Source organism: Homo sapiens, chromosome X (genome assembly GCF_000001405.40).
Source record: "Homo sapiens chromosome X, GRCh38.p14 Primary Assembly".
Taxonomy (NCBI): Eukaryota; Metazoa; Chordata; class Mammalia; order Primates; family Hominidae; genus Homo; species Homo sapiens.
The window spans coordinates 1370996-1385467 of record NC_000023.11 but is presented as its reverse complement, the minus strand read 5'-3'; the positions used below and the strand labels follow the sequence as shown (position 1 = coordinate 1385467).

Sequence of the window (14472 nt, the reverse complement as noted above, 5' to 3'; positions counted from 1 at the left end):
TCACCCGTGAGAATCCACCACAAGGGGTACCCACCGCGAGGCACGACAGCTTCCTTCAAGCTCTTTCTGCTCAAACATTCATTGCGGGGCAAGAAAAGCCGTGTTGAATCTCTACCGGGCCGAACCTTGGGCCTTGGTGTCAGCGCACGGCAGGGCCACAGAGACTACAGCCCTGGGGTTCCAGAGCCGGCTCTCCCGTGCTCTCCAGAAATCCCAGCCATAGTAAAAAGAATCTGTTTTTTGAGATGGAGTCTCGCTCTCGCCCAGGCTGGAGTACAGTGGTGCAACCTCTGCCTCCCAGGTTCAAGCAATTCTCCTGCCTCAGCCTCCCAAGTAGCTGGGGCTACAGGCATGCGCCACCACACCCGGCTGATTTTAGTATTTTTAGTGGAGATGGGGTTTCACCATGTTTACCTACCTGGCTGCTCTCGAGCTCCTGGACTCAAATGATCCGCCCACCTAAGCCTCCGAACATGGTGGGACGACAGGTATGAGCCACCGCTCCTGGCCCGAAAGGCAGACTCTACATCTCTGCACTTGGCCAGGTAGAAACCCTCATTTGTGTCCCGATGATATCAGAGATCAGGAAAGCTCCGTGAGCCCTCGTCTTGGTCACGTGACTCGGCCCAGAGGCAAGTGGCAAAGCAGGACCTTCCACCATCAGCCCTGTGGGTCCTGCACACCCTCCACAAAACAGCCTCGACCCACGGGGACCTGGGCTCCGAGTTCCTGCCTGGAGCTGTGGTCACTGCTTCATTCACTCTTGGATGTATTTTCACTCCTGATACTTAATAGTTTTTTATTTTTATTTTTTTATTTTTTTTGAGACGGAGTCTTGCTCTGTCCCCCACGCTGGAGTGCAGTGGCGCAATCTCAGCTCACTGCCACCTCCGCCTCCTGGGTTCAAGCGATTCTCCTGCCTCAGCCTCCCAAGTAGCTGGGATTACAGGCAGCCGCCACCATGCCCGGCTAATTTTTGTATTTTTAGTAGAGACGGGGTTTCACTGTGTTGGTCAGGCTGGTCTCGAACTCCTCACCTCAGGTGATCCACCCTCAGCCTCCCAAAGTGCTGGGATTACAGGTGTGAGCCACCGCGCCCGGCACTTAATAGATTTTAACCTAGTAATTGGGGCATGGTTTCCTCCGCGGATCAAGTGAAATCCTACATGGTACACTGGACTTTGGGGAATTCGGTAGTGGCGGGGAGGTTCTCCAAAGTTACAATTCAAAGACCAACAAGTTTACTCCTTGATTTTTTTTTTTCTTTGAGATGGAGTCTCTTGTCACCCAGGCAGGACTGCAATGGTGTGGTAACGGCTCAACTCTACTTCCATCTCCGAGGTTCAAGCCATTCTGCCTCAGCTTCCCACGTAGCTGGGATTACAGGTGCCCGCCACCATGCCCGGCTAATTTTGTTTTTTTGTTTTTGAGACAGAGTCTCACTCTGTCACCCAGGCTGGAGTGCTGTGGCGCAATCTCAGCTCACTGCAAGCTCCACCTCCCGGGTTCACGCCATTCTCTGCCTCAGCCTCCTGAGTAGCTGGGACTACAGGCGCCTGCCACCACAGCCCGGTAATTTTTTTTGTGTATTTAGTAGAGACAAGGGTTTCACCGTGTCAGCCAGGCTGGTCTCAATCTCCTGACCTCGTGATCCGCCCGCCTCGGCCTCCCAAAGTGCTGGGATGACAGGCATGAGTCACTGTGCCTGGCCAGTCCTGCACAATCTTGAAATGCTGAGGCTCTCAGCAAGCTGAGTGTTGGAGATAACTTCATAGACAGTAATACATGGTGGCATAGCTGTTTTTAAGAGAATCCTGCCTTGTGGGTACTATCAAAATCACAGTTCCAGTTGGGCTCAGTGGTTTACCTCTGTAATCCCAGCACTTTGGGATGGTGAGGCAGGTGAATCACCTGAGGTCGGGAGTTCAGGACCAGCCTGACCAACATGGAGAAGCCCTGTCTCTACTAAAAATAAATGTTAGCCAGGCATGATGGTGCATACCTCTAATCCCAGCTACTCGAGAGGCTGAGGCAGGAGAGTTGCTTGAACCCAGGAGGCAGAGGTTGCTGTGAGGTGAGATTGTGCCACTGCACTCCAGCCTGAGTGACAGAGCCAGACTTTGTCTCAAAAAAACAAACAGGGGTGGTGGGGGGCCAGACTCGGTGACTACAGGCCAGCCTGTAATCCCAACATTTTGGGAGGCCGAGATGGGCGGATCACATGAGGTCAAGAGTTCCAGACCAGCCTGGCCAACATGGTGAAACCCCGTCTCTACTAAAAACACAAAGCTAGCCGGGCGTGGTGGCATGTGCCTGTAGTCTCAGCTATTCGAGAGGCTGAGGCAGGAGAATCGCTTGAGCCCAGGAGGCAGAGGTTGCTGTGAGCTGAGATGGTGCCACTGCACTCCAGCCTGGGTGACAGACCGAGACTCGGTCTGAAAAAAGAAAAAAGGCCAGGTGTGGTGGCTCACGCCTGTAATCCCAGCACTTTGGGAGGCAGAGGCGGGCAGATCACAAGGTCAGGAGTTCGAGACCGGCTAATATAAAAATTAGCCAGGGGTGGTGGCAGGTGCCTGTAATCCCAGCTACTTGGGAGGCTGAGGCAGGAGAATTGCTTGAGCCCGGGAGGCAGCGGTTGCAGTGAGCTGAGATTGCATCACTGCACTCCAACCTGGGAGACAGATCCTGACTCCATCTCCAAAAAAAAAAAACCGGGGAAACAGTCTCTCTAGTAGTGTTGGAGGAATGGGGCTGAATCCAGAGACCGGGACCAGTGAGTGGGTTAAAAAAAAAAAAATCACTTTATCATGAAATAAACACACAAAGTTCTGTTCTTCTTCCTGGCAGCTTCGGACGAAATTACACAGGCATCTCCCATGCCCACCACCCGTTAGGAATGTCCATTCCTGGGCTGCGTGCGCAGGTCCAGCAGCCAGTCTGTGCAGGCGCCTGGCCCGGCCAGGGAGATTGAGGCAGACCCCCACAAGCCCTGAACCCCAGTCTCAAGTTTTCTGCACGACCTGTACTTCAGTCACCAGACACTCCTCCAGGCCGGCTTTGCCCGCCTCCCAGACCACCTGCAGAGACGAGAGGAGGCAGGGTGAGTCGGCCACCCCCCAGATAACAGAGCCCACGTCCTGATCTGCGGGGGCCTGTCCCATCTCAGATCTGCTCTGTGGGCCAGGCATGGTGTCTCACGCCTGTCATCCCAGCACTTTGGGCCAGGCGCGGTGGGTCACACCTGTAATCCCAGCACTTTGGGAGGCCGAGGCGAGCGGACCATAAGGTCAGGAGATCCAGACCATCCTGGCCAACATGGTGAAACCCCTTCTCTACTAAAAATGCAGAATTAGCTGGGTGTGTTGGTGCATGCCTGTAGTCCCAGCTACTTGGGAGGCTGAGGCAGGAGAATCGCTTGAACCTTCAACCGGGAAGGTGGAGGTTGCAGTGAGCCGAGATTGCACCATTGCACTCCAGCCGGGGCAACGAACAAAACTGCGTCTCAAAAACAAAAACAAACAAAACAAAACAAAACAAAAAACTCTGACAGAGATGTCTGCCTCCTTTTCCTCTGCCCTTCCTTTCTCTTAGGGACACAGGTATCACTAAAAACTTGTTGAAAACTAGGCTGGGCATGGTGGCTCATGCCTGTAATCCCAGCACTTTGGGAGGCCGAGGCAGGGGGATCACAAGGTCAGGAGATCGAGACCATCCTGGCCAACATGGTGAAACCCCGTCTCTACTAAAAATACAAAATTAGCTGGGCGTGTCGGTGCGTGCCTGTAGTCCCAGCTACTCGGGAGGCTGAGGCAGGACAATCGCTTGAACCTTGGACTGGGAAGGTGGAGGTTGTGGTGAGCCAAGATCGCACCATTGCACTCTAGCCTGGGCAACAAGAGCAAAACTCCATCTAAAAAAAAAAAAAAAAATCTGCTCTGCTCTGGTGTGCAGGGTGCGGAGACGGCCCGTGATCACGGTGGGCTGGGAGCCCAGTGTCCCCCCACTCCCTTCATCCTGCAGCTTTTCCCAGCCGCCCACCAGCGCCAGCAGACAGGTGTCCAGCCTCCTAGTCCAGGCCATTTCACTCTTGTCGCCCAGATGGAGTGCAGTGGCTCGATCGTAGTTCACTGCAGCCTCCACCTCCCGGGTTCAAGTGATCCTCCTCCCTCAGCCTCCCGAGTAGCTGGGATTACAGGCGCCCGCCACCACACCCGGCTAATTTTGTATTTTTAGTAGACACGGAGTTTCTCCATGTTGGCCAGGCTGGTCTCCAGTTCCTGGCCTCAAGTGGTCCGCCCGCCTGGGCCTCCCAAAGTGGCCACCACGCCTCCAGACCCGTCCCAAGGCAGAAAAAACAACATACCAGCTTGTCGTTTTGGAAGCTGTCACCGATGGGGTCTTTCATGTGAGGGATGCGGGGAAAGAGTCTCTGCATCACCAGATACCTCGGAGGAAAGAGAAATGGCCCAGCTCTGAACCCAAAACCGACCAGCTCATCATCTGGGACACAGCGTGTCCAGGACAGACAGTGCCAGGACAGAGCAAAAGACTCAAGTCATCTACTCGAGGGGTCTCTATTTTCCCGGCCCCTGAGGCCCTGACACGCCCCCGACCATCATCATAGGCAGGCGCTGGTGTCTAATTAAAGGAGTAGGGCGCTGGTACCGGAGCCACCCAGGGGTGCAGCTGCAAAGACAGACCCCTGGTGCCTCAGGTCACTGAGTTTACGACCTGAGACAGCTTGCAGGAAGGGCCTCGTCCCCCTCTTCCTCCCCCTTTTCCTCCCTCCTCCACCCCTTCCCCCCTACCCCTCCCTCTCCCCCTCCCCCTCTCCCTCCTTCCCCCTCCCCACTCATCCTCCCCTCTCCTCCTCCCCCTTCCCCCTCCCCCACCCTCCCCCTCGCCTCTCCTCCCCCTCCTCCTCCTCCCCTTCCCCCTCCTCCCCCTCTTCCCTTCCCCCTCCTCCCTTCCCCCTCCTTTCCCCCCTCCCTTCCCCCTCCTCCCTTCCCCCCTCCTCCCCCCTCTTCCCCTTCCCCCTCCCCCTCCCCTTTTCCCCCTTCCCCCGGGAGACAGAAGTCACCATGGCACCCATTTGACAGATTGTGAAGCTCTGATGCCCAGCAGGAAGGAAACAGGGCCTGGCTGGTCATGGTGGCTCAAGCCTGTAATGCCAGCACTTTGGGAGGCCCAGGCGGGCAGATCAACTGAGGTCAGGAGTTCGAGAACAGCCTGACCAACATGGAGAAACTCCATCTCTACTAAAAATACAAAATTATCTGGGCATGGTGGCACACGCCTGTCATCCCAGCACTTTGGGAGGCCCAGGCGGGCAGATCAACTGAGGTGAGGAGTTCAAGACCAGCCTGATCAACACGGAGAAACTCCGTCTCTACTGAAAATACAAAATTATCCGGGCATGGTGGCTCACGCCTGTCATCCCAGCACTTTGGGAGGCCGAGGCGGGTGGATCACATGAGGTCAGGAGTTCAAGACCAGCCTGACCAACACGGAGAAACCCCATCTCTACTAAAAATACAAAATTAGCCAGGCGTGGTGGCACATCCTTGTAATCCCAGCTACTCAGGGAGGCTGAGGCAGGAGAATCGCTTGAACCCAGGAGGCAGAGGTTGCAGTGAACCGAGATGGCGCCATTGCACTCCAGGCTGGGCAACAAAAGCAAAACTCCTTCTCTAAAAAAAAGGAGACAGGACCTGGGGTGACCCAGCTGGTGACCAAAAACCTCGAGTTGGTCTGCATGACGGATCCTGGCCCATCCAAGTGGACAGCTGTGACGTTCGCCCAGGCCCCTTCCCGACCAGAAAGCCTGGCCTTTCGCCCTCTGACTGTGTCAGGCCCGCTGGGCAGGGCAGGGGAGGACCGGCCCTGCTTCCTCCACCCTGGGGACACCCTTGGTCCCACCAGAGCCCTCAGCTTTGGCTCTACAGACCTCCTGGCAGGGGGCAGCTAGCAGAGAGGACCTGGCCCCTGGTCTTTTGTGAATAATTCTCAAGGGGCCAGGTGCGGTGGCTCACGCCTGTAATCCCAGCACTTTGGGAGGCCGAGGCTGGGGGATCACTTGAGGCCAGGAGTTCAACACCAGTGTGGCCAACATGGTGAAACCCCGTCTCCACTAAAAATACAAGAATTAGTTGGGTGCAGTGTTGCACACCTGTAATCCCAGCTACTCGGGAGGCTGAGGCAGGAGAATCACTTGAACCCGGGAGGTGGAGGCTGCGGTGAGCCGAGATCGAGCCACTGCACTCCAGCCTGGGTGACAGAGCAAGACTCAAAAAATAATAATAATCATAACAATAATAATAATATGGGCCAGGCGAGGTGGCTTACGCCTGTAATCCCAGCACTTTAGGAGGCTGAGGCAGGTGGATCACCTGAGTCCAGGAATTCAAGACCAGCCTGGCCAACATGGCAAAACCCCGTCTCTACTAAAAATACAAAAATTAGCTGGGTGTGTTGCTGGGTGCCTGTAATCCCAGCTACTTGGGAGGCTGAGGCAGGAGGATCGCCTGAACCCAGGAGGCAGAGGCTGCAGTGAGCCCAGATCGTGCCACTGCACTCCAGCCTGGGAGACAGAGCGAGACTCCATCACAAAAATAATAATGATAATTCTCAGGATGGTTCTGTGAATAACTTTCAGGGTCACACTGGAAACAAGCGACGCTCGCGGACGCCCTCGAGGGCTCACCTTCTGCAGATCACGAAGACACAGACCAGGGCCAGCAGCGTCCCCAGCGCGATCAGCAGCGACGTCCGCCAGGCACGTGTGTTTGCGCCCTCCTCCTGGTCGCACTCTAGGGGTAAAGGGTGAGAGGGTCACAGACCGGGGGCCGTCCTGGGGGGACCAGGGACTGTAAGCTCTCCCCGGGGCCCTGGGAAGCAGAGAGGTGGCTGCCATATGGGGTGGCGTCCAGGGGGGGACACCCCAGTAGTGCCACCTGCACAGAGACCGTGACCACCTGCGGGCCACCTGCAGGCCACCTGAGTACCAGGACCGGGAGCGACTTCCGGACCTCCCAGCCCCAGTCTGGAACCCTAAGGGAGCGGAAAGACCACCAGGGATCCCTGTCTGCCTGGTGCTCGGGACACGGGGAGCGCCAGGGACTTCCACTGTGCCCAGCAGGCCGGCAGGTGCTTTGGGTGTGGGCAGCATGGAGGGGCAGCAGAGGCAGCACTGGCGTGCGTGCTTTGAACTTGATTTTGTGTTTATCATGGAATTTGTGTGTGTGTGTTAATTTTTTCTTTTTCTTTTTCTTTTTTTTTTTTTTTTGAGATGGAGTCTCGTTTTGTCGCCCAGGCTGGAGTGCAGTGGCACGATCTCAGCTCACAACCTCCACCTCCCAGGTTCAAGCGATTCTCCTGCCCCTGCCTCCCGAGTAGCTGGGACTACAGGCGCCCGCCACCACGCCCGGGTAATTTTTGTATTTCTCATAGAGATGGGGTTTCACCATCTTCGTTAGGCTGGTCTTGAACTCCTGACCTCAAGTGATCCACCCGCCTCGGCCTCCCAAAGTGCTGGGATTACAGGCGTCAGCCACGCACCCGGCCTATTTTTTTTCTTTTTTCTTTTTTTTTTTTTTGAGACAGAGTCTCGCTCTGCAGTGCTGTGGTGCTATCTCAGCTCACTGCAACCTCTGCCTCCCGGATTCAAACGATTCTCCTCTCTTAGCCTCCCGAGAGGATCGCTTGAGCCCAGGAGGTCGAGGCTACAGTGAGCCGTGATCGCGCCACTGCCCTCCAGCCTGGGCAATAGAGAGAGACTCTCTCTCCAAAAAAAAAAAAAAACATACATCTATGACCTCACCCCCAGAACCTATGACGATAACCTTATTTGGAACGAGGGTGGATCTGTCTGCTGGGACTGCCATAAAAAAGTCCCACAGCTTGGTGGCTTCAGAAAAAAGGAATTTGGCCGGGCGCGGTGGCTCACGCCTGTAATCCCAGCGCTTTGGGAGGCCAAGGCGGGCGGATCACCTGAGGTCGGGAGTATGAGACCAGCCTGGCCAACATGGCCAGAAAGCCCGTCTCTAATAAAAATACAAACAGTAGCCGGGTGTGGTGGCGGGCGCCTGTCATCCCAGCTACTCAGAAGGCTGAGGCAGGAGAATGGCCTGAACCTGCGAGGTGGAGGTTGCAGTGAGCCAAGATCACGCCACTGCACTCCAGCCTGGCGACAGAGTGAGACTCCATCTCAGAAAAAGAGGAAAAAAAAGAAAAAAGAAAAAGAAAAAAGGAATTGATTCTCCCACAGTCCTGGAAGCTGCAGGTCCAAGATCAAGAGATGGGCATGGGCAGGGCTGGTTCCTCCTGAGGCCTCTCTCCTGGGCTTGGAGACCCCGTCTTCTCCGTGTCCCACAGGGTTGTCCCTTGGTGTGTGTCTGTGTCCTCATCTCCTCTTCTTATGAGATGTCTTAGTCCATCTCAGGCTGCTGTCACAGAATACCAGAGGCTGGGCGGCTTAGAAACAAAACACATTGATTCTCCCACAGCCCTGGAGGCTGGAGGTCTGAGATCCAGGTGTGGGCAGGGCTGGTTCCTCCTGAGGCCCCTCTCCTGGGCTTGGAGACGCCGTCTTCTCCCTGTGTCCCACAGGGTCGTCCCTCCGTGTGTGTCTGTGTCCTCATCTCCTTTTTATGGGATGTCTTAGTCCGTTTCAGGCTGCTGTCACAGAATACCAGAGGCTGGGCGGCTTAGAAACAAAACACATTGATTCTCCCACAGCCCTGGAGGCTGGAGGTCTGAGATCCAGGTGTGGGCAGGGCTGGTTCCTCCTGAGGCCTCTCTCCTGGGCTTGGAGACGCCGTCTTCTCCCTGTGTCCTCACAGGGTTGTTCCTCCGTGTGTGTCTGTGTCCTCATCTCCTCTTCTTATGAGGTGTCTTAGTCCATCTCAGGCTGCTGTCACAGAATACCAGAGGCTGGGCGGCTTAGAAACAAAACACATTGATTCTCCCACAGCCCTGGAGGCTGGAGGTCTGAGATCCAGGTGTGGGCAAGGCTGGTTCCTCCTGAGGCCTCTCTCCTGGGCTTGGAGACGCCGTCTTCTCCCTGTGCCCTCACAGGGTCGTCCCTCTGTGTGTGTCTGTGTCCTCATGTCCTCTTCTTATGAGATGTCTTAGTCCATCTCAGGCTGCTGTCACAGAATACCAGAGGCTGGGCGGCTTGGAAACAAAACACATTGATTCTCCCACAGCCCTGGAGGCTGGAGGTCTGAGATCCAGGTGTGGGCAGGGCTGGTTCCTCCTGAGGCCCCTCTCCTGGGCTTGGAGACCCCGTCTTCTGTGTCCCACAGGGTCGTCCCTCTGTGTGTGTCTGTGTCCTCATGTCCTCTTCTTATGAGATGTCTTAGTCCATCTCAGGCTGCTGTCACAGAATACCAGAGGCTGGGCGGCTTAGAAACAAAACACATTGATTCTCCCACAGCCCTGGAGGCTGGAGGTCTGAGATCCAGGTGTGGGCAGGGCTGGTTCCTCCTGAGGCCCCTCTCCTGGGCTTGGAGACCCCGTCTTCTCCCTGTGTCCCACAGGGTCGTCCCTCTGTGTGTGTCTGTGTCCTCATCTCCTCTTCTTATGAGATGTCTTAGTCCATCTCAGGCTGCTGTCACAGAATACCAGAGGCTGGGCGGCTTAGAAACAAAACACATTGATTCTCCCACAGCCCTGGAGGCTGGAGGTCTGAGATCCAGGTGTGGGCAGGGCTGGTTCCTCCTGAGGCCCCTCTCCTGGGCTTGGAGACCCCGTCTTCTCCCTGTGTCCCACAGGGTCGTCCCTCTGTGTGTGTCTGTGTCCTCATGTCCTCTTCTTATGAGATGTCTTAGTCCATCTCAGGCTGCTGTCACAGAATACCAGAGGCTGGGCGGCTTAGAAACAAAACACATTGATTCTCCCACAGCCCTGGAGGCTGGAGGTCTGAGATCCAGGTGTGGGCAGGGCTGGTTCCTCCTGAGGCCCCTCTCCTGGGCTTGGAGACGCCGTCTTCTCCCTGTGCCCTCACAGGGTCGTCCCTCTGTGTGTGTCTGTGTCCTCGTCTCTTCTTATGAGATGGCTTAGTCCATCTCAGGCTGCTGTCACAGAATACCAGAGGCTGGGCGGCTTAGAAACAAAACACATTGATTCTCCCACAGCCCTGGAGGCTGGAGGTCTGAGATCCAGGTGTGGGCAGGGCTGGTTCCTCCTGAGGCCCCTCTCCTGGGCTTGGAGACCCCGTCTTCTCCCTGTGTCCCACAGGGTCGTCCCTCTGTGTGTGTCTGTGTCCTCATCTCCTCTTCTTATGAGATGTCTTACTCCATCTCAGGCTGCTGTCACAGAATACCAGAGGCTGGGCGGCTTAGAAACAAAACACATTGATTCTCCCACAGCCCTGGAGGCTGGAGGTCTGAGATCCAGGTGTGGGCAGGGCTGGTTCCTCCTGAGGCCCCTCTCCTGGGCTTGGAGACGCCGTCTTCTCCCTGTGCCCTCACAGGGTCGTCCCTCTGTGTGTGTCTGTGTCCTCGTCTCTTCTTATGAGATGGCTTAGTCCATCTCAGGCTGCTGTCACAGAATACCAGAGGCTGGGCGGCTTAGAAACAAAACACATTGATTCTCCCACAGCCCTGGAGGCTGGAGGTCTGAGATCCAGGTGTGGGCAGTGCTGGTTCCTCCTGAGGCCCCTCTCCTGGGCTTGGAGACGCCGTCTTCTCCCTGTGTCCTCACAGGGTCGTCCCTCTGTGTGTGTCTGTGTCCTCGTCTCTTCTTATGAGATGGCTTAGTCCATCTCAGGCTGCTGTCACAGAATACCAGAGGCTGGGCGGCTTAGAAACAAAACACATTGATTCTCCCACAGCCCTGGAGGCTGGAGGTCTGAGATCCAGGTGTGGGCAGGGCTGGTTCCTCCTGAGGCCCCTCTCCTGGGCTTGGAGACGCCGTCTTCTCCCTGTGCCCTCACAGGGTCGTCCCTCTGTGTGTGTCTGTGTCCTCATCTCCTCTTCTTATGAGATGTCTTAGTCCATCTCAGGCTGCTGTCACAGAATACCAGAGGCTGGGCGGCTTAGAAACAAAACACATTGATTCTCCCACAGCCCTGGAGGCTGGAGGTCTGAGATCCAGGTGTGGGCAGTGCTGGTTCCTCCTGAGGCCCCTCTCCTGGGCTTGGAGACGCCGTCTTCTCCCTGTGCCCTCACAGGGTCATCCCTCTGTGTGTGTCTGTGTCCTCGTCTCTTCTTATGAGATGGCTTAGTCCATCTCAGGCTGCTGTCACAGAATACCAGAGGCTGGGCGGCTTAGAAACAAAACACATTGATTCTCCCACAGCCCTGGAGGCTGGAGGTCTGAGATCCAGGTGTGGGCAGTGCTGGTTCCTCCTGAGGCCCCTCTCCTGGGCTTGGAGACGCCGTCTTCTCCCTGTGTCCCACAGGGTCGTCCCTCCGTGTGTGTCTGTGTCCTCATCTCCTTTTTATGGGATGTCTTAGTCCGTTTCAGGCTGCTGTCACAGAATACCAGAGGCTGGGCGGCTTAGAAACAAAACACATTGATTCTCCCACAGCCCTGGAGGCTGGAGGTCTGAGATCCAGGTGTGGGCAGGGCTGGTTCCTCCTGAGGCCTCTCTCCTGGGCTTGGAGATGCCGTCTTCTCCCTGTGTCCTCACAGGGTTGTTCCTCCGTGTGTGTCTGTGTCCTCATCTCCTCTTCTTATGAGGTGTCTTAGTCCATCTCAGGCTGCTGTCACAGAATACCAGAGGCTGGGCGGCTTAGAAACAAAACACATTGATTCTCCCACAGCCCTGGAGGCTGGAGGTCTGAGATCCAGGTGTGGGCAAGGCTGGTTCCTCCTGAGGCCTCTCTCCTGGGCTTGGAGACGCCGTCTTCTCCCTGTGCCCTCACAGGGTCGTCCCTCTGTGTGTGTCTGTGTCCTCATGTCCTCTTCTTATGAGATGTCTTAGTCCATCTCAGGCTGCTGTCACAGAATACCAGAGGCTGGGCGGCTTAGAAACAAAACACATTGATTCTCCCACAGCCCTGGAGGCTGGAGGTCTGAGATCCAGGTGTGGGCAGGGCTGGTTCCTCCTGAGGCCCCTCTCCTGGGCTTGGAGACCCCGTCTTCTGTGTCCCACAGGGTCGTCCCTCTGTGTGTGTCTGTGTCCTCATGTCCTCTTCTTATGAGATGTCTTAGTCCATCTCAGGCTGCTGTCACAGAATACCAGAGGCTGGGCGGCTTAGAAACAAAACACATTGATTCTCCCACAGCCCTGGAGGCTGGAGTTCTGAGATCCAGGTGTGGGCAGGGCTGGTTCCTCCTGAGGCCCCTCTCCTGGGCTTGGAGACCCCGTCTTCTCCCTGTGTCCCACAGGGTCGTCCCTCTGTGTGTGTCTGTGTCCTCATCTCCTCTTCTTATGAGATGTCTTAGTCCATCTCAGGCTGCTGTCACAGAATACCAGAGGCTGGGCGGCTTAGAAACAAAACACATTGATTCTCCCACAGCCCTGGAGGCTGGAGGTCTGAGATCCAGGTGTGGGCAGGGCTGGTTCCTCCTGAGGCCCCTCTCCTGGGCTTGGAGACCCCGTCTTCTCCCTGTGTCCCACAGGGTCGTCCCTCTGTGTGTGTCTGTGTCCTCATGTCCTCTTCTTATGAGATGTCTTAGTCCATCTCAGGCTGCTGTCACAGAATACCAGAGGCTGGGCGGCTTAGAAACAAAACACATTGATTCTCCCACAGCCCTGGAGGCTGGAGTTCTGAGATCCAGGTGTGGGCAGGGCTGGTTCCTCCTGAGGCCCCTCTCCTGGGCTTGGAGACGCCGTCTTCTCCCTGTGCCCTCACAGGGTCGTCCCTCTGTGTGTGTCTGTGTCCTCGTCTCTTCTTATGAGATGGCTTAGTCCATCTCAGGCTGCTGTCACAGAATACCAGAGGCTGGGCGGCTTAGAAACAAAACACATTGATTCTCCCACAGCCCTGGAGGCTGGAGGTCTGAGATCCAGGTGTGGGCAGGGCTGGTTCCTCCTGAGGCCCCTCTCCTGGGCTTGGAGACGCCGTCTTCTCCCTGTGCCCTCACAGGGTCGTCCCTCTGTGTGTGTCTGTGTCCTCGTCTCTTCTTATGAGATGGCTTAGTCCATCTCAGGCTGCTGTCACAGAATACCAGAGGCTGGGCGGCTTAGAAACAAAACACATTGATTCTCCCACAGCCCTGGAGGCTGGAGGTCTGAGATCCAGGTGTGGGCAGGGCTGGTTCCTCCTGAGGCCCCTCTCCTGGGCTTGGAGACGCCGTCTTCTCCCTGTGTCCTCACAGGGTCGTCCCTCTGTGTGTGTCTGTGTCCTCATCTCCTCTTCTTATGAGATGTCTTAGTCCATCTCAGGCTGCTGTCACAGAATACCAGAGGCTGGGCGGCTTAGAAACAAAACACATTGATTCTCCCACAGCCCTGGAGGCTGGAGTTCTGAGATCCAGGTGTGGGCAGGGCTGGTTCCTCCTGAGGCCCCTCTCCTGGGCTTGGAGACCCCGTCTTCTCCCTGTGTCCCACAGGGTCGTCCCTCTGTGTGTGTCTGTGTCCTCATCTCCTCTTCTTATGAGATGTCTTAGTCCATCTCAGGCTGCTGTCACAGAATACCAGAGGCTGGGCGGCTTAGAAACAAAACACATTGATTCTCCCACAGCCCTGGAGGCTGGAGGTCTGAGATCCAGGTGTGGGCAGGGCTGGTTCCTCCTGAGGCCCCTCTCCTGGGCTTGGAGACCCCGTCTTCTCCCTGTGTCCCACAGGGTCGTCCCTCTGTGTGTGTCTGTGTCCTCATGTCCTCTTCTTATGAGATGTCTTAGTCCATCTCAGGCTGCTGTCACAGAATACCAGAGGCTGGGCGGCTTAGAAACAAAACACATTGATTCTCCCACAGCCCTGGAGGCTGGAGTTCTGAGATCCAGGTGTGGGCAGGGCTGGTTCCTCCTGAGGCCCCTCTCCTGGGCTTGGAGACGCCGTCTTCTCCCTGTGCCCTCACAGGGTCGTCCCTCTGTGTGTGTCTGTGTCCTCGTCTCTTCTTATGAGATGGCTTAGTCCATCTCAGGCTGCTGTCACAGAATACCAGAGGCTGGGCGGCTTAGAAACAAAACACATTGATTCTCCCACAGCCCTGGAGGCTGGAGGTCTGAGATCCAGGTGTGGGCAGGGCTGGTTCCTCCTGAGGCCCCTCTCCTGGGCTTGGAGACGCCGTCTTCTCCCTGTGCCCTCACAGGGTCGTCCCTCTGTGTGTGTCTGTGTCCTCGTCTCTTCTTATGAGATGGCTTAGTCCATCTCAGGCTGCTGTCACAGAATACCAGAGGCTGGGCGGCTTAGAAACAAAACACATTGATTCTCCCACAGCCCTGGAGGCTGGAGGTCTGAGATCCAGGTGTGGGCAGGGCTGGTTCCTCCTGAGGCCCCTCTCCTGGGCTTGGAGACGCCGTCTTCTCCCTGTGTCCTCACAGGGTCGTCCCTCTGTGTGTGTCTGTGTCCTCATCTCC

At 56.2% G+C, this 14472-nt stretch overlaps 1 protein-coding gene and 1 long non-coding RNA gene across 23 annotated transcripts in view; one reads left to right on the top strand and one right to left on the bottom strand.

Annotated features, from left to right (window-relative positions):
- The window catches only part of IL3RA (interleukin 3 receptor subunit alpha), a 45905-nt gene continuing 34211 nt past the window's right edge, over window positions 2779–14472 (bottom strand). For all 7 annotated transcript variants that reach the window (NM_002183.4, XM_005274432.2, NM_001267713.2 and 4 more), the window contains 3 exons: window positions 6704–6809; window positions 4364–4445; window positions 2779–3077 (listed from right to left, as the gene is read on the bottom strand). In NM_002183.4, the coding sequence (NP_002174.1) occupies window positions 3003–3077; window positions 4364–4445; window positions 6704–6809 (263 nt within the window). In that variant the 3' untranslated portion in view covers window positions 2779–3002. The remainder of the gene's footprint in view (window positions 3078–4363; window positions 4446–6703; window positions 6810–14472) is intronic.
- Window positions 6992–14472, top strand: part of LOC101928032 (uncharacterized) — a 41203-nt gene continuing 33722 nt past the window's right edge. For all 16 annotated transcript variants that reach the window (XR_007068376.1, XR_001755759.2, XR_007068375.1 and 13 more), the window contains exon 1: window positions 6992–7146. This is a non-coding gene — a long non-coding RNA (uncharacterized LOC101928032). The remainder of the gene's footprint in view (window positions 7147–14472) is intronic.